This window comes from Homo sapiens, chromosome 12 (genome assembly GCF_000001405.40).
Source record: "Homo sapiens chromosome 12, GRCh38.p14 Primary Assembly".
In the NCBI taxonomy this organism is placed as follows: Eukaryota; Metazoa; Chordata; class Mammalia; order Primates; family Hominidae; genus Homo; species Homo sapiens.
In genome coordinates, this window is record NC_000012.12 from 131,902,927 (window position 1) to 131,924,295 (window position 21,369).

A 21,369-nucleotide genomic window follows, 5' to 3' on the forward strand; every position below is an offset into this window, starting at 1 on the left:
GCTTGTGAAAACCAAATGTAGCTGCGAGGCAGACGTGGAGCCCGATGCCCTGTGTGGGTTCTGCAAGGCAGAGCTGGAGCCCGATGCCCTGTGTGGGTTCTGGGTGGGCCCAGGGGAGGTCAGCTGTGGCCGGTGAGGCTGTGCTCTCACCTGACCCCCCTCAAGAGCCCTAGAGAGAGTCGCTGCCTGTGGGAAGGGTGGACAGGCCCAGCTGGGGGCCCCCGTCGGGGGGTGTTGTGGCGCAGGGCCTGGGCCTGCAGCTGCCCTGGAGGAGCTCCCCCAGCCCTGGCAGAGGTGGTCCTGGGCTTGTTTGTCCTCACTTCTCATCCCTGACTCTGCCAGGGTTGGAGACAGCAAGGCTAGGTCCTTCCGGGGACACAGAGGGTGACTGGCTTGGCATTGGCACTGGGCAGAGTGAGGACAGGACTCCAGCCCACCTGCTTGGGCTGTGCTGCCATTTCCCAGCCTGGGCACGCCTCCCAACCTCTGGGGCCTCAGTGTGCTCGTATGGGAAGTGGGCTGGTTATGGCCTGCTGCCTGGGCTCCTGCAGGGCTGGTGTAGTTCAACTTCACAGGAGGCTCTCGGAGGCACGGGAAAGGCCCTGGTGTGCCCCGATGCCCAGCTCAGGGAGTTGGATGCCCACAGCCCTGAGGGCCTGTCTGAAGCTGTCATCTGTCCCAGGGGAGTTGGGAAGACCCGAATGCCTGTGGTGAGGTGGATGCCCCCACCCTACCCTGCAGCCCCACCCCCAGTGGCCTTGAGTCACCTGCTGGAGAGGACCTTTTAGGAGAGAGGCTGAGCATGGGCCAGGCCTTGGTTTCTGCAAGGGACCATTTGAAGTGCAGGGAAGAGGCTGGAGGTGCTTCGGTCCCACAGCCCCCTGCCCACTCCCTCCTGGGAGCTGGTGCCCCCTGAGGTTTTGGGGACAGAGGAGGGCTGCCAGCACAGTGGGGAGGGCAGAGGGGTCTCTAGGAAGGTGACCTAGGGGGTGACATCTGTGACTCTGGGGCAAGGCCAGGGGTCTAGACGTGTCAGTAGCGAGGTGGGTTCCAGCACCCATGAGGCCAGTGTGGCTGGAGGGATGGCAGGGCCAGGTGCCCTGGGTAGGGGTGTTGGGGACCCTGGCTAGAGTGTGGGCAGCAGATGGGGTGGGGGAAGAGCCTCCTTGCCAGGGTCCTGTGGGCCAGTCACTGGTGCCACAGGGGTCTCCCTGGTGGGCCTCTGCCTTTCTTCTTTTTGAGACAGGTGTCATTCCGTCACCCATCCTGGAGTGCAGTGGCACGATCTCCCGGCTCACTGTAGCTGTGGCCTCCTGGGCCTAAGCCACCCTCCCACCTCAGTCCTGAGTAGCTGGGACTACAGGCGTGCACTGTCACACCTGGATAATTTTTGTATTTTTTTGTAGAGATGGGGTTTTGCCATGTTGCCCAGGCTGGTCTCAAACTCCTGGGCTCAGGCGATCCTCTTGGCTTGGCCTCCCAACATGCTGGGATGACGGGCATGAGCCACCGTACCCGGCCAGGCCTTTGCCTTTCTAGGGGTGAGAGGTGGCTGCCTTAGTGTTTGGGGGTGGGAGGAGGCTACAGGGCTTCAGTTAGCACCCCCTGCCCAGAGGGAGCTCCTGTCCCACACAGCCCGGTCCTGGGTGAGTGGCTGGGGGATGGGGTGCTGGGCTCCTGCTCTGCACACATGGGTGTTCCCCCAGGATACCTCTGACTTTGACACATCCCTGCTTGTCCTGGCTTTGCTGGTGGGTTTGGAGCTCTGATGAGCAGGTCAGGTCTTAGGGAACCCCTGGCTCTGGGATCCAGGGCAGGTGGCCCCCAGAGAGGAGAGGAGAAATGTGGGCACCTATGGGCACTCACTGGAGGGGCTGTGGGGAGGGTAATGGTGGGCCCAGGTCAGGGAGTGGGCATGGCCGTCCTGAAGTTATTTCTGAGTCTAGCTTCATCTCCCCCTCCTTCCTGGGTTCTGCCCGGAGCTGTCCCTGCAGTCCCCCTTGCCCCATCCTGTGCTCTGTGGATTGTTTCTCCCCACAGCTGCTGGGAGCCCTGGGCTCCCCACGTGCTCTTCCTGGGCAGGCAGGTGAGGCCAGGCGGGGCTTGGGGTGCACAGGCTGTGGGTGGGGTGGGCTGAGGCCTGCCTCATGGATAGGTCCCACCTTCTCTAGGCTGTGCCTGGGTTTCTGGGTCTCCCTCTGGGCCGGCCCTGCAGTGTCTGTGGATCCTGGGGTTGCTGCCTGAGCACCATCGGCCTTAGCCTCCCTAAAGGCACCCTCTCCTGAGCCTGTCCCCACTCAGCATCCTCGTCCAGCCCATAGCTCCTCTGCGGGGGCAGCTCTGGGACACGGGCTTCTCACGTTTATGAAGCAGGCATCACCCAGTGGCTTTGCGGCTGTCCCCCCCACCAGGGGTGCCTTCTGATTGGTTGGGGCCTCCTGGGACTGGGGGCTGAGCAGGGGTCCTGTGTGGGACGCGGCTCCTGAGGCGCTGAGGGGTGTTCCTCCTGCAGACCCCCTCCAGACACGGCTCCCCTTTGCTTTGAGAGAGCCTGGGCTCGCTCAGGGGTAGAAGTGGGATGGCCCTACAACAGGTGTGGACTCGCTTCCCTGTAAGCACCTAGAGCATGTGGATGTGTACAGGGCAGAGGGAGGGGGCTTTGTGTGGAAAGGGCTTCCTCCTCCTGTTCTGAGGCCTAGAGTCAGGTGTGTGGGGCCCTTGCTCCTCCAGCCCAGCCTGCCTGGTTTGATGTGGCTTCCTGGGCCTCACTCTCCTTGTCTGTGAAACGGGGGTGATGAGGACTCGTCCCTGTGGCTGCGGGGAGTGAGTGGTGGGCTACAGGGAGGCTCCCAGTCCCAGGTGAGGGTGTACGCATGCTGGCCGTTGGGGTGTGTGCTGTGTCTGCACCGGTGGCTTACTCTGAGTTTCATGGGGGCAGGAAAGGGCGGGGTACTGGTGGCACCCCCGGTCAGGTCTGTGTCTGAGCTGAGGGCTGAGCAGCTGCTGGTCAGGTCTTGTTGGCCCAGCAGCGGAGGGGGTGGCTGAGACGCCTCTGACCGAAGGCATTGGGGCGAGGGATGGCAGCCTGAGCTGCAGCCAGGTTGGGTAGGGCAGCTGGAGGCCGCAGGCCTCTGCGTCAACCTGGCAGCGCCAACCTGCAATCTGTTGGCGTCTTCTTTTTTTTTGAGATGGAGTCTCACTCTCTCGCCCAGGCTGGAGTGCAGTGGCACAGTCTCGGCTCACTGCAGCCTTCTCCTCCCGGGTTCAAGTGATTTTCCTGCCTTAGCCTCCTAAGTAGCTGGGATTACAGGCACGCACCACCACGCCTGGCTAATTTTAGTATTTTAATAGAGACGGTTTCACCATGTTGGTCAGGCTGGTCTCGAACTGCTGACCTCATGATCCACCCGCCTTGGCCTCCCAAAGTGTTGGGATTACAGGTGTGAGCCACTGCACCTGTTTAAGTTTTGTATTTTTAGTAGAGACGGGGTTTCACCATGTTGGCCAGGCAGGTCTCAAACTGCTGACCTTGTGATCCACCCACCTTGGCCTCCCACAGTGCTGGGATTACAGGTGTGAGCCACTGCGACCAGCCCTGTTGGCGTCTTTGATCCTGGGCTGAGGAGCTGAGAAGCTTCTATGGCCTGAGGGTCACACACACCTGCCCACACACCTGGCCTTCACCCTTCCTGCTAGGGGGTATGTCCTCTGCCAGGAGCTGTTGCTCTTATGGGGGGACCAGGGGCCTTTGCCTTGATCAGATGGAGACCTGGCTGGCCACAAAACAGAACACACCCACCTACAAAGCACGTGGCCCAGAGATGTCCTCGTCTCCCGGCCGCTGGCTGACCAGCTAAGTCCTGGCACTGCAGGGCCTGCCCAGGCCGAATTGGGGCTGAGCCAGACTCCCTGCAGTGGGGCCCGGTGGCACTGGGACCTCTCACAGCCTCTTTTCTGTCTTGCAGGAAATGGCTAATTCTGTCTACCTGGTTATGGAGGTGAGTGCCTTGTGGTGCCAGGACAAGTGCAGGCTGATGGCCATGGCCCTGGGAGCCCCACAGGGAGGGACATGGCTGGGGGGAGGGTGATGAGCACCTTTTCTTTTTTTTTGAGATGGAGTCTCACTGTCGCCCAGGCTGGAGTGCAGTGCTGCGATCTCAGCTTACTGCAACCTCCACCTCCGGGTTCAAGCAATCCTCCTGCCTCAGCCTCCCGAGTAGCTGGGAGTAATTACAGGTGTGTGCCACCACGCCCGGCTAATTTTTATACTTTTAGTAGAGATGGGGTTTCGCCACGTTGGCCAGGCTGGTCTTGAACCTCCTGACTTCAAGCGATCTGCCCACCTTGGCCTCCCAAAGTGCTCGGATTACAGGCGTGAGCTGCCACGCCTGCTGAGTATCACTATTGATGTCTTCCAGCAGGGACTGTGGGGACACCTGCCCTGGGCTGGGCAGGTGCCTGCGGGCTCAGGGAGTAGTGTCCAAGTGTGAGGGGTGGGGAGGCTGGGCAGGGCTGGGAGGTGGGCCCTGGGCCCTGCTGCAGCCTGATGCGTGTCTGGTCTCTTGCAGTACTGCAACGGTGGGGACCTGGCCGACTACCTGCACGGTGAGTGCACAGCTGCGCCACCTGGGCTGCCAGCCGGTCCCACAGGGCCCGCACCCAGGGCCACACTGGCCCAGTCTGGGAGGCAGCCTGGCTCGAGTGGGTCCTTGGCTCATTGTGAGATTGGCTCTTTCTTGTCCCCCTGGGCCTCTTGAGGGGATGCAGGGAGCTGAGCTGCTCCCGGCTGTTAAGGATGCAGTCCCTCCGCTGGCCTCCCCCTTGCTTGAGGAGACAGCTGTGACCAGAATAGCCCGAGGGGAGCCGCACAAACCAGGGGTGGGGGCTGTTGTCTTCATAGTGTGGCTGGAAGGCGGCTCTTGGCCCACCCAAAGTTGAGCCCTGTGGCGGATGGGAGGGGATGTGCTGCACGGGGCGGGGCGGGGCAGAGGGAAGGACAGCAGGGGGGCGGCCGCGCCCGTCTGTTCCCAGGCTCTCTGGGTGGGGGTCCGGGCCACAGTGCCGGCGGGCGCGGGGGTGGGTGGGGCGCCGGCGGCCTCTTGGGGGTGTCCTGAGGGTCTGGAGGTGGCTCTGGGACAGTTCCGGGGACTTGGGCCTGAGCACCCGGGAGCCGGCAGGACTGCTCAAACGCCGGCTCAGACCCGCGTCGCCCTCATAGCGCTGGGGCGGGAGTGCGGGGCTGGTAGATGGACAGGACCCGCTGGCCCCCTCGCCTCGCCCCACGCGAGGAGGACCCCACGGACCAAGCCTGGGAGACAGACGCTGAGGCCGCGCGTAGCTGAGACTGGGGCTGCGGGTCGGGTCGGGCTGTGCGCGGCTGGCACCTGTCTGGATGCCGGGAAGAGGGGCAGGAGCGGGACCCGGGCGGAACCGCGGTGGCACTGAGGCTGGGCTTCGGCGGCCTCCCGTCTCTGGAGCAGCTGCAGCCCGGGGCTGAGTGGTGGGGCCGGCGCGCCGGGCTCTGCGCAGGAGCTTCAGGTGCGCCCTGGTCTCGGCGGCCCGTGGTGGCTTGTGCCCCTCCTGACCCGGGGTTTCCTCCCGGCCTGCGGCCCTGCCTGGCGCTCTCCATCCGTGTGGCGGGACCGGCCTGGCTGCGCGGGACTCACCCCTGGGGGAGGAAACACGGCCCCCAGGCCCTGAGCCGCCTCTCCCCGCAGCCATGCGCACGCTGAGCGAGGACACCATCAGGCTCTTCCTGCAGCAGATCGCGGGCGCCATGCGGCTTCTGCACAGCAAAGGCATCATCCACCGCGACCTGAAACCGCAGAACATCCTGCTGTCCAACCCCGCCGGCCGCCGCGCCAACCCCAACAGCATCCGCGTCAAGATCGGTCAGCCCGCGGGCAGGCAGGCGGGCCCGGCGGGGAGGGGCTCCGGGGCCGGCGCCGGTCCTGACGCTTCTCTCCCGCAGCTGACTTCGGCTTCGCGCGGTACCTCCAGAGCAACATGATGGCGGCCACACTCTGCGGCTCCCCCATGTACATGGTGTGTTTACCTTGGCCGGGCTGTGCCGGGTGGGCGCCTCTCTGGGCTTGCTGGTTGGTTGGCTGGCGTGTGGTGCGCTCTGCTCTGGTTGGCTGTGGCCTGGCGGGCACCTTCTGTGGTTGGCGTGCGGGGGCCTCACACTGACCCGACTTCTGGTCCCGCAGGCCCCCGAGGTCATCATGTCCCAGCACTACGACGGGAAGGCGGACCTGTGGAGCATCGGCACCATCGTCTACCAGTGCCTGACGGGGAAGGCGCCCTTCCAGGTAACTGGGCTTGGCCCTGCTCCCCACGCCGCACCGTCAGTGCAAGTGTCCGCCAGCTGCGGTCAGACGCCCCCTGCGAGCCCTGCCCGCGCCCCACGAGCTCCCCTCGGGTCCTGGCTGGCGGGGCGGGCGTCCAGGGGTCCAGTGGGGAAGGGGCCTCGGTGTCCCCCAGGGAGGGCGGCGCCGCCGGCGGTGACTGGGAGCTGCCCCCGGCAAGGCCTCCCTCGCCTGTCTGGTCGCCTGTCTAGTCGCCTGTCTGGTCGCCTGCCTGGTCAGAGGTGAGGGCAGCGCCGGGGCCGAGTGGGTGAGGGCTGGGAGGCCGCGTTCTGGGGGGTGGACACCCCGAGAGACCGTCGGCGCCCCCTCCCCGCCCCCATGCTCATACCTCCAGCAGCAAACAGCCGCGCTAGCACCCGGTTTCCCCCGGGCTTCGCAGCGTCTGGGGCAGGGGCCGACTGGGGACGAACGCACCGAGACCCCGTGGGCTGGTCCCGCTCGGCCGCAGCCCTGGCAGTCAGGCTGTCCCCGTCCCCGCAGGCCAGCAGCCCCCAGGACCTGCGCCTGTTCTACGAGAAGAACAAGACGTTGGTCCCCACGTAAGCACCCTCCCGCCTTCCCTTCCCTTCCCCCGCGGGCTCCGGCCCCGCAGGCCCTGCTCACACCAGCCTCCTCTTGCCCCAGCATCCCCCGGGAGACCTCGGCCCCGCTGCGGCAGCTGCTCCTGGCCCTACTGCAACGCAACCACAAGGACCGCATGGACTTCGGTGAGCACCCACCAGGGGCGCAGCTGGAGTCCCCCACCCTCCTTCCTTGCATTTGCTGATGTGAGCAGGGCCCACCGGCTTCACACCCAGCCCCATGTGCACACTGCCCTTTCCACAAGCCAAGCGCAGGCAGGGGCTCCACCTCCGCCCGGGCAGGTGCCCAACGCGGCTGGAGCTCAGGCCGTGGGGAGGCAGGGGCCTGGGGTCAGAGCTGGGGTCCTCCTGAGGCCTCACTCCTCCTTCCTCCTGCAGATGAGTTTTTTCATCACCCTTTCCTCGATGCCAGCCCCTCGGTCAGGAAATGTGAGTTTCTGTGGGTCCTGGGGCTCCGCATGGGCCCTGCATGCACCCCTTCCTCCCCGGGTTTGGTTAGGGCACTGAGTGTGGGGCAGAGGGAGCAGGTCTTGAGCTGCGGCCAGCTCCCAGGGAGGGCAGGACACCCGGCTCCTTGCTCTGCTGCAGCGGGGACCCCAAGGCCAGGGGTTCGCATGGTGCAGCAGGCTTGGGATGGGGATGGGGTGTTGGAGGGGCTGGTGCTGCCCTGTGACAGTCATAGGGTGGCCCAGGAGGGAGCCTCCCTCCTTCCTGCTGGTCGGGGTGTAGCCGGAAGTGGAGGGGATATGGTTGAGCTTGTCCAGTCTGTGGGTTGGCTCGAGGGTGAGGAGGAGACAGGAGGATGGCCCAGACTGACCTATGCATGTTTATCTCAGCCCCACCCGTGCCTGTGCCCTCGTACCCAAGCTCGGGGTCCGGCAGCAGCTCCAGCAGCAGCTCCACCTCCCACCTGGCCTCCCCGCCGGTGAGTTGCCGCCCCAGGGGCTTGGCAGCTTCTCCCTCCACTCAGCAGTCAGGGGCTCCAGCCCTGGGCCCCCGCGGGGACGTGCTGTGACTTCTGTTGTCTGTGTGAGTCACGAAAGACATGGATGAGTTCATTCTGTCAGATGTTGAAGCCCCACAAACGGGTGACAGCCCCTCCCAACACCCACAGCCCTCAGGTCCCAGAGGCCGATAGGGCGGCTGTTTGGTCTGGTCCTGTCTTTGGTTTTGTGCTGACGTGGACAGAAGCAGCGTGTGGCCTTGGCCCACTGACACCTGCACCCCTGGCCTCCCTCGTGTCTTCCATTGGACTCAAAGCATGAGTAGGGTTGCAGGGTGATGGCCCCACATGATGATGGCACTCCTTGTGTGACATGGGAGGGGTCTGCAGAGCACCTGAGTCGGCCATGAACCCCCGTCCCTCTGTCCATCTGACTGGGAGCCTGGCTCTCAGGCATGGTGTTGTGGCTGGTGGTGATGAGTTCATGTCTGGGCTCTCCTGGCCTGGCCCCCTGCTCTGTGACCAGGGACCGGTCCTCTGACCTTGGTTGTCTGCCTGTATCATGGCCGAAAGCTCAGATGTGGCGAGGGGAGCGTGGCAGCGCCCTGCTGTAGGGAGCTGTGGCATCCGCAGACCTGCCCTGGGGCACTTGGGGCTTTAGCCACCACCGCACGGATGGTGTGCCCTGGGCCTTAGCATGGTGCTGGCCTCAGAGCAGGGCCCACCGGGGTGGCAGCCTCTCCACTGGACACGCCTTCCATGGTACCTCGTTCTCTTGGCTATGCCGATGGAAAAGTGAGGTGCAGAGGGCAGGTGGTGAACAACTCCCCAAAACAGGGCCTCCCAGAGCTTCTGGGAGCTGAGGGCTTCAACCCACCCAGGCTGCATGGTGAGAGTGGCTCGTCGGGGGGCCTGTCCCTGCGAGGTCAAAGCTGGCCTTTGAGTGGAGTGCTCTGGAAGTACAGAGAAGAGCGGAGCACAGGAAGAAAGACGTGCCCAGCCCTTCTCAGCCCCAGCGCCCCGATCTTTACTGGGGCTCTGGGCCATCCCAGGAGGGGGAATTTGCTCCCCTGAGTGTGTAGGTCCCTGAGACCTGCTCACCAGCCCCTCCGTTGACTCTCAGTCCCTGGGCGAGATGCAGCAGCTGCAGAAGACCCTGGCCTCCCCGGCTGACACCGCTGGCTTCCTGCACAGCTCCCGGGACTCTGGTGGCAGCAAGGACTCTTCCTGTGACACAGACGACTTCGTCATGGTCCCCGCGCAGTTTCCAGGTCAGGGGGCACGCTGGGCTTGGAGGTGACGCCTCAGGTGCGGCGGGGACAGTGCATTGCATGTGTTGGATGCACAGTGTGTAACACATTTCCACTTATGGGCAGTTAGGATGGGCCCCTGGGAGCCACCGGCATCGGCCCAGCTTGGTTGGGGAGGCCGTGTCTGTTAAAACCACTCCTGGAATCAAAGCCGGGTCCTCCTAGTGGTCAGTAGGAGGTCGGAGGCCATAGGCCTGGTCTCCTTAGACAGTGCTGCTCTTCGGATGGGTGGGGGCCGCTCACCTCATGCCCCTCCCCCGCCATGTACCCCTACCTTGTTTCTCAGCAACTCTTGTTGCCTCTACACCCTGCAGGTGGGTTTATTCCTTGGCTTTTGGGGAACCCCCCGCTCCATAATGGCCAGGGGCTGCCCACGTGTTTGTTGAATGAAGGTGCCTAAACTTTTGGAGCAGGCCTGGGGTCTGTGGCTCCTCTGAAGGCCCTGCACTCTGTCCCTGGCTGTCCCAAAGCTCCTGGAGGTCTGGGTTGGCACTGGTCCCCGTGTCTGCCAGGGACACAATGACTCATGCCGAGCCCTCCGCCTCTCCCATCAGCATGGCTTCTGCGGGGGTGGTGAGGCCCGAGCCAAGCCCCAGACAGACCCGGGGAGGGCCTTGGTCCTTTGCCAGCTGTCAGGGCAACAGGAAGACGGACACCAGGGGTAGGGCAGAGCCTCCTTGGGGGTGGGAACCTGGGTATTCCTGGAGGGGGTTGGGCCCAGACTTAGGGCTGTAGATGCCTGACCTCCCCCGCCCATCCTGGAGTTAGCTAAAGGCTGGGGGGCAGGGCCCCAGGGGTCTCTGGGGCTGAGGAGACAGGAGGCGCAGAGTCCAAGTGGGGATAAGCGGGGGCAGGTAGCGCTCTGGTCTCCCGGAGCTGGCCTGGGGCTGGCAGGGAGGATGCAGCCTGGACTGTACCACCCAGGCTCTGCCCCCCGCAAGGCCGCTGTACGAGCTGAGGCCCCTGCAAGGTGGAGTGTGCGTGGGGATCCAGCAGAGAGCCTCGGTGGGGTGGGGTGGCCCTGGGCAGGCGGCAAGGACTCCAGGCCCAGCCTTGTCTCCCCCTGCAGGTGACCTGGTGGCTGAGGCGCCCAGTGCCAAACCCCCGCCAGACAGCCTGATGTGCAGTGGGTGAGCCCCCATCCCTTACCTCTGTATTTTAGGGGAGAGAAACTGTGGCCTTGGAAGTGGCCCGTGTTATTTACAATGAGCCGAGATCGCGCCACTGCACTCCAGCCTGGGTGACAGAGCGAGACTCTGTCTCAAAAAAAAAAAAAGTAAATGCCGTTGGCCCGTGGTGGCTCACGCCTGTAATCCCAGCACTTTGGGAGGCCGAGGCGGATGGATCACAAGGTCAGGAGATTGAGACCATCCTGGCCAACATGGTGAAACCCCGTCTCTACTGACAAAAAAAAGAAATGCAAAAAATTAGCCAGGCGTGGTGGCACATGCCTGTAATCCCAGCTACTCGGGAGGCTGAGGCAGGAGAATCGCTTGAACCCAGGAAGCAGAGGTTGCAGTGAGCCGAGATTGCGCCACTGCACTCCAGCCTGGGTGACAGAGTGAGACTGCCCCAAAAAAAACAAAAAAATGCCCTTGGCCTCCCTTCTGCCCCACAGGAGCTCACTGGTGGCCTCTGCGGGCTTGGAGAGCCACGGCCGGACCCCATCTCCATCCCCACCCTGCAGCAGCTCCCCCAGTCCCTCAGGGTAAGCAGGGCCCCAGGCTGGGTGGATGGGGCTGTGAACAGTCCCCCGGCTGGAGGTTGGGCTTCCTGTGTGTCGCAGCCAGCCCAGGCCTGCTGTGTCCAGAGGCCCCTGCCTTCTTCTCCCAGGCCTCGCAGGATGGGGTCTGCTGGGTCGTCCTGCAGAAGGGACTATAGTGGGAGGAGCATTGACAGGAGTAGGTGAATGAGGAAACCAACCAGGGACGCCAGGGCCAGCACAGTCGAGCCTGTAGGGCCAGGAATGGCCAGGGCCCCGGCCAGGGTGGCCCCCCACTGGCTGGGTGCAGACTGGGAGTCCAGGTGGGGTGCAGGTGCCACATTTCTGGTGTGTGTAGAGGCATGGAAGCCGGCTCTTTTCAGACCTGGCATGGGTCTCAGGGTGGCCTCTGCCCTAACTAGGAAGTCTGGGCCTAGGCTTTCTTCTGGTGCCCCAGCTCCATGACCTCAGCCTCTTGTGACCCCAGTGTCTGTCATGATCCTGACCTCTCTCCACCACAGCCGGGCTGGCCCGTTCTCCAGCAGCAGGTGCGGCGCCTCTGTCCCCATCCCAGTCCCCACGCAGGTGCAGAACTACCAGCGCATTGAGCGAAACCTGCAGTCACCCACCCAGTTCCAAACACCTCGGTGAGTGTGGAGCCCCCAGGTAGCCAGGCGTGGCTGGGGCCTTGTGTGGCAGGAGCCCTTCCACGGCTCCCATAGAGGGACAGGGTCGTCATCCATGTGCAGTTGTGCAGGCTGCGCACTGCGTAACTCAGCACCACCATTTACTTTGTTGATGTCTTGGGTTTCTAGAGTTATTTTGACAGTTTTCTGATCAGTAAAATCTCTCTAGTTTATAAAATCAATATTGACTTTGGCCAGTTTTAACAGACAGAAGTAAATGGTGGGAGGAAAGGGTACCTTTCTTTTAACTCACAGAAGGCTGTGTGGGCCAGTGGGTGTCTGGCAGGGGATGGAGACTTTAGGGTGAGGGTGCCTTGGGTTGGCACCCCGGGCAGGAAAGCTAAGGGGCCAACTCCTCCCACACACCCACTGTGTGGCCGGTTACCTGGACAGAGTGCATTAGAGGATGAGCCATCTGTCAGCACTGTAGCCACTTGGCGTGGCATGGGGTCCTGGGCTGCTGGGGCCTCCCCTCCTAATACCTGCCTTGTCCCCAGGTCCTCTGCCGTCCACAGGTCAGGCAGGGCTGCTGAGGCCTCCCCTCCTAATATCTGCCTTGTCTTCAGGTCCTCTGCCATCCGCAGGTCAGGCAGCACCAGCCCCCTGGGCTTTGCAAGGGCCAGCCCCTCGCCCCCTGCCCACGCTGAGCATGGAGGCGTCCTGGCCAGGAAGATGTCTCTGGGTGGAGGCCGGCCCTACACGCCATCTCCTCAAGGTGCGCCTGCAGGCTGGGGCCTGGGAAGGGGCGTCTGTAGGCAGTGGGTGAGGAGGCTGTCTCTGTCCCAGCTGGACCCTGACAGATCTCTCTTTTCCCCAAGTTGGAACCATCCCTGAGCGGCCAGGCTGGAGCGGGACGCCCTCCCCACAGGGAGCTGAGATGCGGGGTGGCAGGTCCCCTCGTCCAGGTGGGTGCAGTCCGGAGGGGGGAGGGGGTGCTAGGCTGACCTCCCTCGCTCACGTTGTCATCCTGGTCTAAAGCCCTTGCTCTTTCCAAGTGAAAAGGAGTGGGAAGGAAGCTGGTGGAACAGAAGCCAACTGCCTCTCCACCTCCTGGCTGTGTGGGCTGGGGCAAGTTTCTTATCCCCTCTGTGCCAGTCTTCTGTGCTGGCTGAGGGTCAGGTTTAAGAGTGGCGCCTCAGCTACTCGGGAGGCTGAGGCAGGAGAACCGCTTGAACCTGGGAGGCAGAGGTTGCAGTGAGCCGAGATCATACCACCGCACTCCAGCCTGAATGACAGGGCGAGACCCCGTCTCAACAAAAGAAAAAGAGTGGGGCCTTGGAGTGCGTCTACCCCAAGGGGCTCCGTGTGGTAGCAGTGGGGCCTAGGGCTGGGCCGCCGGACCGGAAGGTCGTGACGAGGCGTGTCTCTCTCTAGGCTCCTCTGCACCCGAGCACTCTCCCCGCACTTCCGGGCTGGGCTGCCGCCTGCACAGCGCCCCCAACCTGTCTGACTTGCACGTCGTCCGCCCCAAGCTGCCCAAACCCCCCACGGACCCCCTGGGAGCTGTGTTCAGCCCACCACAGGCCAGCCCTCCCCAGCCGTCCCACGGCCTGCAGTCCTGCCGGAACCTGCGGGGCTCACCCAAGCTGCCCGACTTCCTGCAGCGAAACCCCCTGCCCCCCATCCTGGGCTCCCCCACCAAGGTAATGGGCACTGCCATGTGTGCAGGGGCACAGAGCCCTGGGGAAGATGTGTGGGAATGGCCAGTCCTGAACAAAGACCGAGGAAGGCAGCTCTGTACCTTTTGACCCCCGCCTGGGCTCATGCTCAGGCTGCTCCCACATGCCTGCCAGTTCCTGCGGACTCGGCCCCTTCCCCAGGCACCGGGCCCCAGGGCTGCAGACCTGCGGGGCAGTCTTCACCCCATCTCTGTCCTCCTAGGCTGTGCCCTCCTTTGACTTCCCGAAGACCCCCAGCTCCCAGAACCTGCTGGCCCTCCTAGCCCGGCAGGGCGTGGTGATGACGCCCCCTCGAAACCGGACGCTGCCCGACCTCTCGGAGGTGGGACCCTTCCATGGTCAGCCGTTGGGCCCTGGCCTGCGGCCAGGCGAGGACCCCAAGGGCCCCTTTGGCCGGTGAGTTGAGGGGACAGGCCTTGGACGGGCTTCTGAGGGGCAGCCTCTTTCCCCTGCATTGTTCTGCTGGGTACTTCTGGGGGGTAGAACAGGAAAAGCCCAGCCTTGCCCTTCTGTGGGTGCCCAGTGTGGCTGGGTGCCAGAGAGCCTGGCCCACCTGTGGCTGGCCCTAGACCCACAGCAGGTCCCCGTCCTGAGCCTCGCCATGCCCGCCTGTAAGCTGGGGTGACAGGAGCGCCTGCCTCTCGAGGTGGGCCAGGAGACCGTGCATCATGTGTGTCTGGCCTGCAGAGGGACCTCTCGAGGTCCAGTTAGGGTGGGGTGGGCCGGGCACCCAGCACAGCCCTGCACACTCCCACAGGTCTTTCAGCACCAGCCGCCTCACTGACCTGCTCCTTAAGGCGGCGTTTGGGACACAAGCCCCGGACCCGGGCAGCACGGAGAGCCTGCAGGAGAAGCCCATGGAGATCGGTGTGTGGGTGGGTGGGGCTCGGAGGCTGTGGGATGGGGGTCGGAGGCTGTGGGATGGGGGTCGGAGGCTGTGGGATGGGGGTCGGAGGCTGTGGGATGGGGCTCGAGGCTGTGGGATGGGGGTCGGGTGGGGCTTGGAGGCTGTGGGATGGGGCTCGAGGCTGTGGGACGGGGGTCGGGTTCGGCTCGGAGGCTGTGGGACGGGGGTCGGGTTCGGCTCGGAGGCTGTGGGACGGGGGTTGGGGGGAGCTCGGAGGCCGTGGGATGGGGGTCGGGTTCGGCTCGGAGGCTGTGGGATGGGGGTCGGCGGGAGTCAGGATGCTCCTGAGCCCTTCCTTGCTCTCCCAGCACCCTCAGCTGGCTTTGGAGGGAGCCTGCACCCAGGAGCCCGTGCTGGGGGCACCAGCAGCCCTTCCCCGGTGGTCTTCACCGTGGGCTCTCCCCCGAGCGGGAGCACGCCCCCCCAGGGCCCCCGCACCAGGATGTTCTCAGGTGAGGGCTGGCTAGGCTGAAGCCCTGTCCCTTTTGGGGTGGTGGCAGCGCCCTAGCGGACGGGGGCATCCTTTAACTCGGGTCACTGGACTACAGCCCCCCAGAGCCCAGGGGTGCCTGAGGAAGCAGCTCAGGCCCCTGAGAAACCCCTGCTCTGTCTCCCCGTCTGCGAAATGGACGTGGTTCTGGTATCCACCCCTCAGACCACCCCTGCCACTCAACCTGTGAGCGGTAGGCGCTCGTTCCCATTTATCCCCAAAACATGAGGTGAGCAGGGACGGTGTCTGGATCATGGCCTCCTTGCCCAGCTGCCGTGGGCTGTGCTGTGTTGGTCAGGAGTTGCCCTGATGAGCACAGGCCGTGCAGACAGGCGTGCCCCTCGGTTCCCCAGCCAGTGGTGTGTGGGGATGCTCTGGGCCTGGGGCCTGGCTGGGTCCCCACTGCGGGTTCTGCCTGGGGAGGGGTGGGCTTGTGGGCGTCTGGTCCTGGCCAGGGGCTGCCATCGCTGGGGTCACCTGCCAGCCCCATAGCGAGGATGGGGGACTGCCTTGCCCTTTGAGGTCCTTTTGGGCCTTGGGCCCAGCTGTGGGGCACAGTAGCACACCAAGCCACGCACCTACCCCATTCCAGACAGTGGCAGCTGCCCTCCTCCCAGGCAGATCTGGGCTGGGGGTCGGGATACCCAGAGGGTCCCTTGGTGGGCACCGCAGCCCTTGGCCTGAGGTGGGGAGCTGGGGACTTGGGGGTTGTGGTGAGTGGCAAGAGGTTGAGGAGTGGCTCTAGGGGCCTGCTGTGCTTCTCCTGTTGGAGCATTGGGATATAACAGGTGTAAACCGAGGCAGAGGCACATTGGGCCCTGGAGGTGTGGGAGTCTGTGGGGGATGGATGGGGGCCACGGTGTCTGCTGGTCCTGGTGTGCCCCTCATCGCCCTCTCCCTGCAGCGGGCCCCACTGGCTCTGCCAGCTCTTCTGCCCGCCACCTGGTGCCTGGGCCCTGCAGCGAGGCCCCAGCCCCTGAGCTCCCTGCTCCAGGACACGGCTGCAGCTTTGCCGACCCCATTACTGCGAACCTGGAGGGGGCTGTGACCTTCGAGGCCCCCGACCTCCCTGAGGAGACCCTCATGGAGGTGAGGGCTGGAGTGAGCAAAGGTTCCCATTCTGGCTGGAGGGTGTGTGGGGTGTGTGGGGTGTCGGGTGTGTGGGGTATAGGGTGTGTGGGGTGTCGGGTGTGGGGTGTCGGGGGTGTGGGGTGTAGTGTGTGGGGTGTAGAGTGTGTGGGGTGTGGGGTGTCGGGTGTGTGGGGTGTCGGGTGTGTGGGGTGTCGGGTGTGTGGGGTGTAGGGTGTGGGGTGTAGGGTGTGTGGGGTGCAGGGTGTGTGGGGTGCAGGGTGTGTGGGGTGCAGGGTGTGGGGTGCAGGGTGTGTGGGGTGTCGGGTGTGTGGGGTGCAGGGTGTGTGGGGTGTCGGCTGTGTGGGGTGTACGGTGTGTGGGGTGCAGGGTGTGTGGGGTGTCGGGCGTGGCACATCCCAGCTGCCCGGGCTGCAGCAGGGGAGGGTACCCTGCCCTGCCTCCCCAAGGCGTCATCGGTGAGTCTGAAGGGAGACAAGCCCCTTCCAAGCCCGGGCAGCACTTGCCGCCCTGACGGCCGCTTCCTGCAGCAAGAGCACACGGAGATCCTGCGTGGCCTGCGCTTCACGCTGCTGTTCGTGCAGCACGTCCTGGAGATCGCAGCCCTGAAGGGCAGCGCCAGTGAGGCGGCGGGGGGCCCTGAGTACCAGCTGCAGGAGAGTGTGGTGGCCGACCAGATCAGCCTGCTGAGCCGAGAATGGGGGTGGGTGCCGCCAGGGCTGGGGTGGGGCGGGTGGTGGCCTGGGGGCCAGGACCAACCGGCCTCCTCTGATCTGCCTGCCGCCCCCAGCTTCGCGGAACAGCTGGTGCTGTACCTGAAGGTGGCCGAGCTACTGTCCTCCGGCCTGCAAAGTGCCATCGACCAGATCCGGGCCGGCAAGCTCTGCCTGTCGTCCACTGTGAAGCAGGGTGAGGGCTGCGACCGCTCAGCCCACATGCCGGGTTGGGGAGGAAGCCCACCTTGCAACTGCCTGGGTGACAGGGTAACAGGGAGGCTGCTTGAGTAGGCCCCTGTGCAGAGGTGCAGAGGCCCCGGGGCCTGGCCCAGTGTGCAGAGCACAGAGGCCATTGGGTCGGACAGCACCCTGGAGCCCAGTATGCAGAGCACAGAGGCCGTGGGGTCGGATGGCACCCGGGACAAGGTGCGGAGCCTGGCCACACCCTCAAGGCCACGGGGAGCCAGGGCTGTGGCAGGGAGGGAGGGACGTGCTCGCTCAGTGCACCGGGCAGATCATGGCCACTCCAGCCCTGCCCCGTGTCTGCTGCACCCTGAGCTGACCACCCTCGTCCTTTGCAGTGGTGCGCAGGCTGAATGAGCTGTACAAGGCCAGCGTGGTGTCCTGCCAGGGCCTGAGCCTGCGGCTGCAGCGCTTCTTCCTGGACAAGCAGCGGCTCCTGGACCGCATTCACAGCATCACTGCCGAGAGGCTCATCTTCAGCCACGCTGTGCAGATGGTACGGGACAGACAGACACCAGTGGGGCAGGGGCCAGGAACTTCCAGGCCCGCCGTCTCCACTGGGACGGGACCTTGATGCCCACAGCGTGGTGAGACTTTGGGGGGTGTCACTTCTGGAGGTCTTGAAATGACAGCATTATGCACCCCCAGCCTCCTGCAGGCGCTCGCAGCTCGGCTGGGTGCATCCTTGATTGTACGGGTGCCGTGGCCCATGTGCATCCTGCCTCGCCCCGACTCAGTTTCCCCAATTGTAAAATGAGAGACTTGGTCTTCAGGCCTCGTAGTCAGGTGTCAGCCTCCAGAAGCAGCACCTGGTCCCGGACAACCTGCCTGGAAGTGTGGTGCACTCAGGTGGTACCACGGGCAAAGACTCCCTGCTTGGGCTCTGAAGAGCTCCCTCTGCCTCTGAGGTGGTGCCCCCTTTTCGTTTATTTTTTGTTGTTTTTTTTTAAGAGAGGGTCTTGCACTGTTGCCCAGGCTGAAGTGTAGTGTAGCCGCTAACTCCTGGGCTGAAATGATCCTCTTGCCTCAGCTTCCCAAGATGCTGGGTATTACAGGCAAAAACTCATGAGTGCCTGAGTCTCCTTTTTTAAGAAAATTTAAGCATGTAGTAAAAATCCAGTCTGAACAAACATGGGAAAAGTCAGCCTCCCTCCTGCCCCCCTTCCCGCCCAGGCAGGCCAGGCAGCAGCAGTAATGACACTGACTGAGCGGCGGGCACTCTGTTGTCCTGGGGCCGGGCTGAGAGCGCTGGCCAGGGTCATCTGGTTCCAGGCAGTGTCTCCCCTTGGCCCTGTGACCATCCCCTCTGCACAGCAGGCTGCACCAGCACTTATGTCTCCACGTCACTGCCCTGAGCGCCTATCTGCCACCCCTGGGCCGCTGCCGTGGGTGCAGGGCAGCCCTTGCTGGGAGGGAGTGGGGTGAGCTGGCCCTGTCCAGCCTCTGTCCTCGCCCCCAGGTGCAGTCGGCTGCCCTGGACGAGATGTTCCAGCACCGTGAGGGCTGCGTCCCACGCTACCACAAGGCCCTGCTGCTCCTGGAGGGGCTGCAGCACATGCTCTCGGACCAGGCCGACATCGAGAACGTCACCAAGTGTGAGTGCCCGGCTGGGCTGGGGGCTGGGGACTCTGGGCGTCTCCCTCACACTCCCCTCTCCCTCCACAGGCAAGCTGTGCATTGAGCGGAGACTCTCGGCGCTGCTGACTGGCATCTGTGCCTGACCTTTCTGGCCTGGCTGGGCCCCCCGTCCTGCCGAGCCCTGCAGAGTGGGCTCTGTGTGCTGGCTGGACTCCTCGGGACAAGCCCATGGCGCTGATCGCTGGTGCTGAGCCCTGCCCTGGGCCCCACGGACAGTCAGCCTGCCGGCCTCCCTGCAGCTCACGGGGCAGAACCAGCACATCTGGAGCCACACAGCTTGGGGGGTGTCTCCCATCTTTTACAGGTGGGGATCACAGAATTTCTGCCCCTCCAGCTGCCTGGCTCAGCAGGCGTGGGTGCCACCACCCTCTAGCCCCAGGGCAGCCCCGGAGGACAGGCAAGGGCCTGAGACCACTGCCGACTCAAAGCCAAAGCGAGCTCCTGCTTAGGGAAGGTCAGCAGGCACTGTGCCCAGGAAGAGCCTGCGGCCTCGGCGTCCCCCAGTCTCCAGGAGCCTCTCCCTCCGAGATACCCACCCAGCTTTGTCAATCACCCAAGCACTTTATGCATATAGAGACAGAACCTGGACCTCACCAGGGACTGCTGGGCAGCGATTCCTGGCAGTGGCCTGGTGTTTGTACATACACATATGCAGACACATGCCAGGGCCCCCCAAGCCCGAGCACCGGACCACGTTGCTGCCCAGGTCTGGACCTCAGCGGGAGAACTGGCTCCGGGGGGAGTGGGGCCCTGCGCTAGAGGCAGAGGCAGTTCTTTGTTCAAGCGTTCCTCTGGGGACCGGCAGCAGAGGCACCGTGTTCTCTCAGCCCTGGATACGTCTTGTAATCTTTCACACTTTATTCCTAAAACGTGTCTTATTTTTATGCAGCTCATTTTTTCTTTAAAGGAGAAAACTTGTAGGTGTTTAAGAATTGGTTTTGGGAGGGCGAGGACTGGGCCAGGTTAGAGGCAGATGGCACAGGGGCGTGTGGCGGGCGGGTGAGGCTGCTTTGCACACCTGTGTTGGTGGCTGTCCCCTGCCGCCCCTCCCTGTGGCAGCAGCAGGACAGGTGTGTGCCCAGCACCCTCCCTACCTGGGCCTGGAAGCAGATGAGGGGAATACTTCATGCAAAGAAAAAAGTAACATGTGCAAAAGCTCCCCGTCCAGCTTTGACAGTCAGTTTTGATGTCAGCTCCTCGGCAGGGTAGGCCTGATGACAGCCCTGTCCCTCCCTGCCTCTGCCTTGCCCAAGGCCACGGAGGGCATCTGCAGAGAGGCCTGCCTTCCGGATTCCAGGCGGGCATGCCCTGCAAACCCCGCCTGGGCCTCCCTTGGTCTGCCCAGCCCTCGATTAGCCCTGCCTGAATCAGTAGATACTTGAACGAGTCCCCAGTCTGCGGGAGGCAGTGGTGGGGCCATGGACCCATGCGGGGGGTTCCAGGGTCACACGCCACATAACAGACAAAAATACACACACGTGTGTTTTTCTTTGCAATACTTGAAATATTGCCACTGTGCTTGGACTTAGAAGAAGAAAATCCCCGTGACTTCTTCCTCATCACCTTGATGGCTTTATTCTCACCTTGTGGGGCATGTTTGTATTTATTGCTTCATGGCCGACTGGAATCCTGAGTCCTGGGAAGCTGGCACTGCGGGGATCTTGCCCGGTGTCCTGGTCCTCTTGCTTCCGTCGCGGCCGCATGTGCGTGTGTCCAAGCAGGTCCTGGGCGCCTCAACTGCTGCCCCTGGTTGAATGTTCTCTTGATAGTGCTGGACCCTTTGTCTATTTTAAAGCGAATTTTGTGTGATTTCCTGCCCTTTGCGTTATATTGTATAATACCAACGTAAGGAAATAAACCTTTGGAATTGTTGGGCTGGTGTCACCACTTGTCTTCGTTGGCTTGTCACTGTTTTCAGGGTTCTGTCATTTTCTTTCTCAGCCGAGGCGCAGGAGCCCAGGGCCCCTCCACAGGTGCCCACAATGGTCGACACAGCCCTGGGAGCAGAGCCCCAGGGCAGAAGCTGGATGTGTTGAGGGACAATGCAAACCCCTGCGCCACAGGAAGCCTCTCCCGCCAGGCTGGGGGTCCTGCACAGGGTGAAGAGAGTCCAGAGGGCAGGGCATCTGCCTTGGTATAGCTTTGGGCACCTGCTTTGACTCCTTTGGGGGATACACCTAGGAGGGGCTTTCGGGGCCACGTGGAGCTGTGTGTTAACTTCCAAGAAGCAACACGGTTCGTTCACTGCAGCCTCTGAGCAGCTGGGCCTCCAAGGCCTTGCCGTGTGGTTTTGATTTGCATTTCCCCGAGGGGTCATGACGTGGAGCATCACAGGTACTTGGCGGCCATTTGTGTGTCTTTGGAGGAACATCTAAATCCTTTGCCTCCCCCTTTTTATTTATTTATTTATTTTTTAATTTGAAATGAGTAACTCTGTTGCTCAGGCCGGAGTGCAGTGGCGCGATCTCGGCTCACTGAAACCTCTGCCTCCCAGGTTCAAGAGATTCTCCTGCCTCAGCCTCCCAAGTAGCTGGGACTACAGCCACCAAGCCCGGCTAATTTTTGTTTTTGTTTTGTTTTGTTTTTAGTAGAGACGGGGTTTCACCGTATTAGCCAGGATAGTTTCAATCTGATGTTGTGGTCTGCCTGCCTTGACCTTCCAAAGTGCTGGGATTACAGGCATGAGCCAGCGCACCTGGCTGTTTTTTTTTTTTTTTTTTTTTGGAGACAGTCTCCCTCTGTCACCCAGGCTGGAGTGTAGTGGTGCAATCTTGGCTCACTGCAATCTCTGCCTCCCGGGTTCAAGCGATTCTCCAGGCTCCCGAGTAGCTGGGATTATAGGCCAAGTGCCACCACGCCCAACTAGTTTTTGTATTTTTAGTAGAGACGGAGTTTCACCATGTTGTCCAGGATGGTCTCAATATGACCCCGTGATCCACCTGCCTGCCTCATCCTCCCAAAGTGCTGGGATTACAGGCGTGAGCCACCACGCCCCAACTTTTTTTTTTTTTTTTTTT

General features: G+C 63.0%; 1 protein-coding gene across 4 annotated transcripts in view, besides 4 other annotated features; it reads left to right on the top strand.

The window, feature by feature from the left end:
• The window catches only part of ULK1 (unc-51 like autophagy activating kinase 1), a 28,529-nt gene extending 8,305 nt beyond the window's left edge, over positions 1-20,224 (top strand). Inside the window, exons 4-28 of one of the 4 annotated variants that reach the window (XM_011538798.4) lie at positions 3,966-3,998; positions 4,569-4,605; positions 5,718-5,891; positions 5,972-6,045; positions 6,210-6,311; positions 6,849-6,907; positions 6,993-7,075; positions 7,328-7,378; positions 7,786-7,874; positions 9,016-9,163; positions 10,272-10,332; positions 10,821-10,910; positions 11,426-11,551; positions 12,088-12,305; positions 12,409-12,495; positions 12,965-13,233; positions 13,472-13,665; positions 14,027-14,136; positions 14,485-14,628; positions 15,571-15,755; positions 16,286-16,458; positions 16,546-16,664; positions 17,053-17,210; positions 18,174-18,309; positions 18,380-20,224. In XM_011538798.4, coding sequence (XP_011537100.1) covers positions 3,966-3,998; positions 4,569-4,605; positions 5,718-5,891; positions 5,972-6,045; positions 6,210-6,311; positions 6,849-6,907; positions 6,993-7,075; positions 7,328-7,378; positions 7,786-7,874; positions 9,016-9,163; positions 10,272-10,332; positions 10,821-10,910; positions 11,426-11,551; positions 12,088-12,305; positions 12,409-12,495; positions 12,965-13,233; positions 13,472-13,665; positions 14,027-14,136; positions 14,485-14,628; positions 15,571-15,755; positions 16,286-16,458; positions 16,546-16,664; positions 17,053-17,210; positions 18,174-18,309; positions 18,380-18,435 — 2,976 coding nt within the window. In that variant the 3' untranslated portion in view covers positions 18,436-20,224. Of the gene's footprint in view, positions 1-3,965; positions 3,999-4,568; positions 4,606-5,717; positions 5,892-5,971; positions 6,046-6,209; positions 6,312-6,848; positions 6,908-6,992; positions 7,076-7,327; positions 7,379-7,785; positions 7,875-9,015; positions 9,164-10,271; positions 10,333-10,820; positions 10,911-11,425; positions 11,552-12,087; positions 12,306-12,408; positions 12,496-12,964; positions 13,234-13,471; positions 13,666-14,026; positions 14,137-14,484; positions 14,629-15,570; positions 15,756-16,285; positions 16,459-16,545; positions 16,665-17,052; positions 17,211-18,173; positions 18,310-18,379 lie in introns of those variants that run through there. The other 3 variants (NM_003565.4, XM_011538799.3, XR_007063134.1) reach the window with 3 other exon arrangements.
• Positions 12,864-13,033: an enhancer, noted in NCBI's record as "experimental_25936 CRE fragment used in MPRA reporter constructs". NCBI's record gives its function as "activates a minimal promoter by MPRAs in K562 erythroleukemia cells, with activity observed for both the introgressed and non-introgressed 12:132400420 or rs75464840 variant alleles {active_cell/tissue: K562}" and the evidence as "EXISTENCE:reporter gene assay evidence [ECO:0000049][PMID:34662402]".
• Position 12,949: a transcriptional cis regulatory region, noted in NCBI's record as "Neanderthal adaptively introgressed variant 12:132400420 (GRCh37/hg19 assembly coordinates) or rs75464840 in the experimental_25936 CRE". NCBI's record gives its function as "modulates activity of the experimental_25936 enhancer by MPRAs in K562 erythroleukemia cells {active_cell/tissue: K562}" and the evidence as "EXISTENCE:reporter gene assay evidence [ECO:0000049][PMID:34662402]".
• Positions 20,698-20,777: an enhancer, noted in NCBI's record as "active region_7371". NCBI's record gives its function as "activates an Ori minimal core promoter by ATAC-STARR-seq in GM12878 lymphoblastoid cells {active_cell/tissue: GM12878}" and the evidence as "EXISTENCE:reporter gene assay evidence [ECO:0000049][PMID:35858748]".
• Positions 21,188-21,247: an enhancer, noted in NCBI's record as "active region_7372". NCBI's record gives its function as "activates an Ori minimal core promoter by ATAC-STARR-seq in GM12878 lymphoblastoid cells {active_cell/tissue: GM12878}" and the evidence as "EXISTENCE:reporter gene assay evidence [ECO:0000049][PMID:35858748]".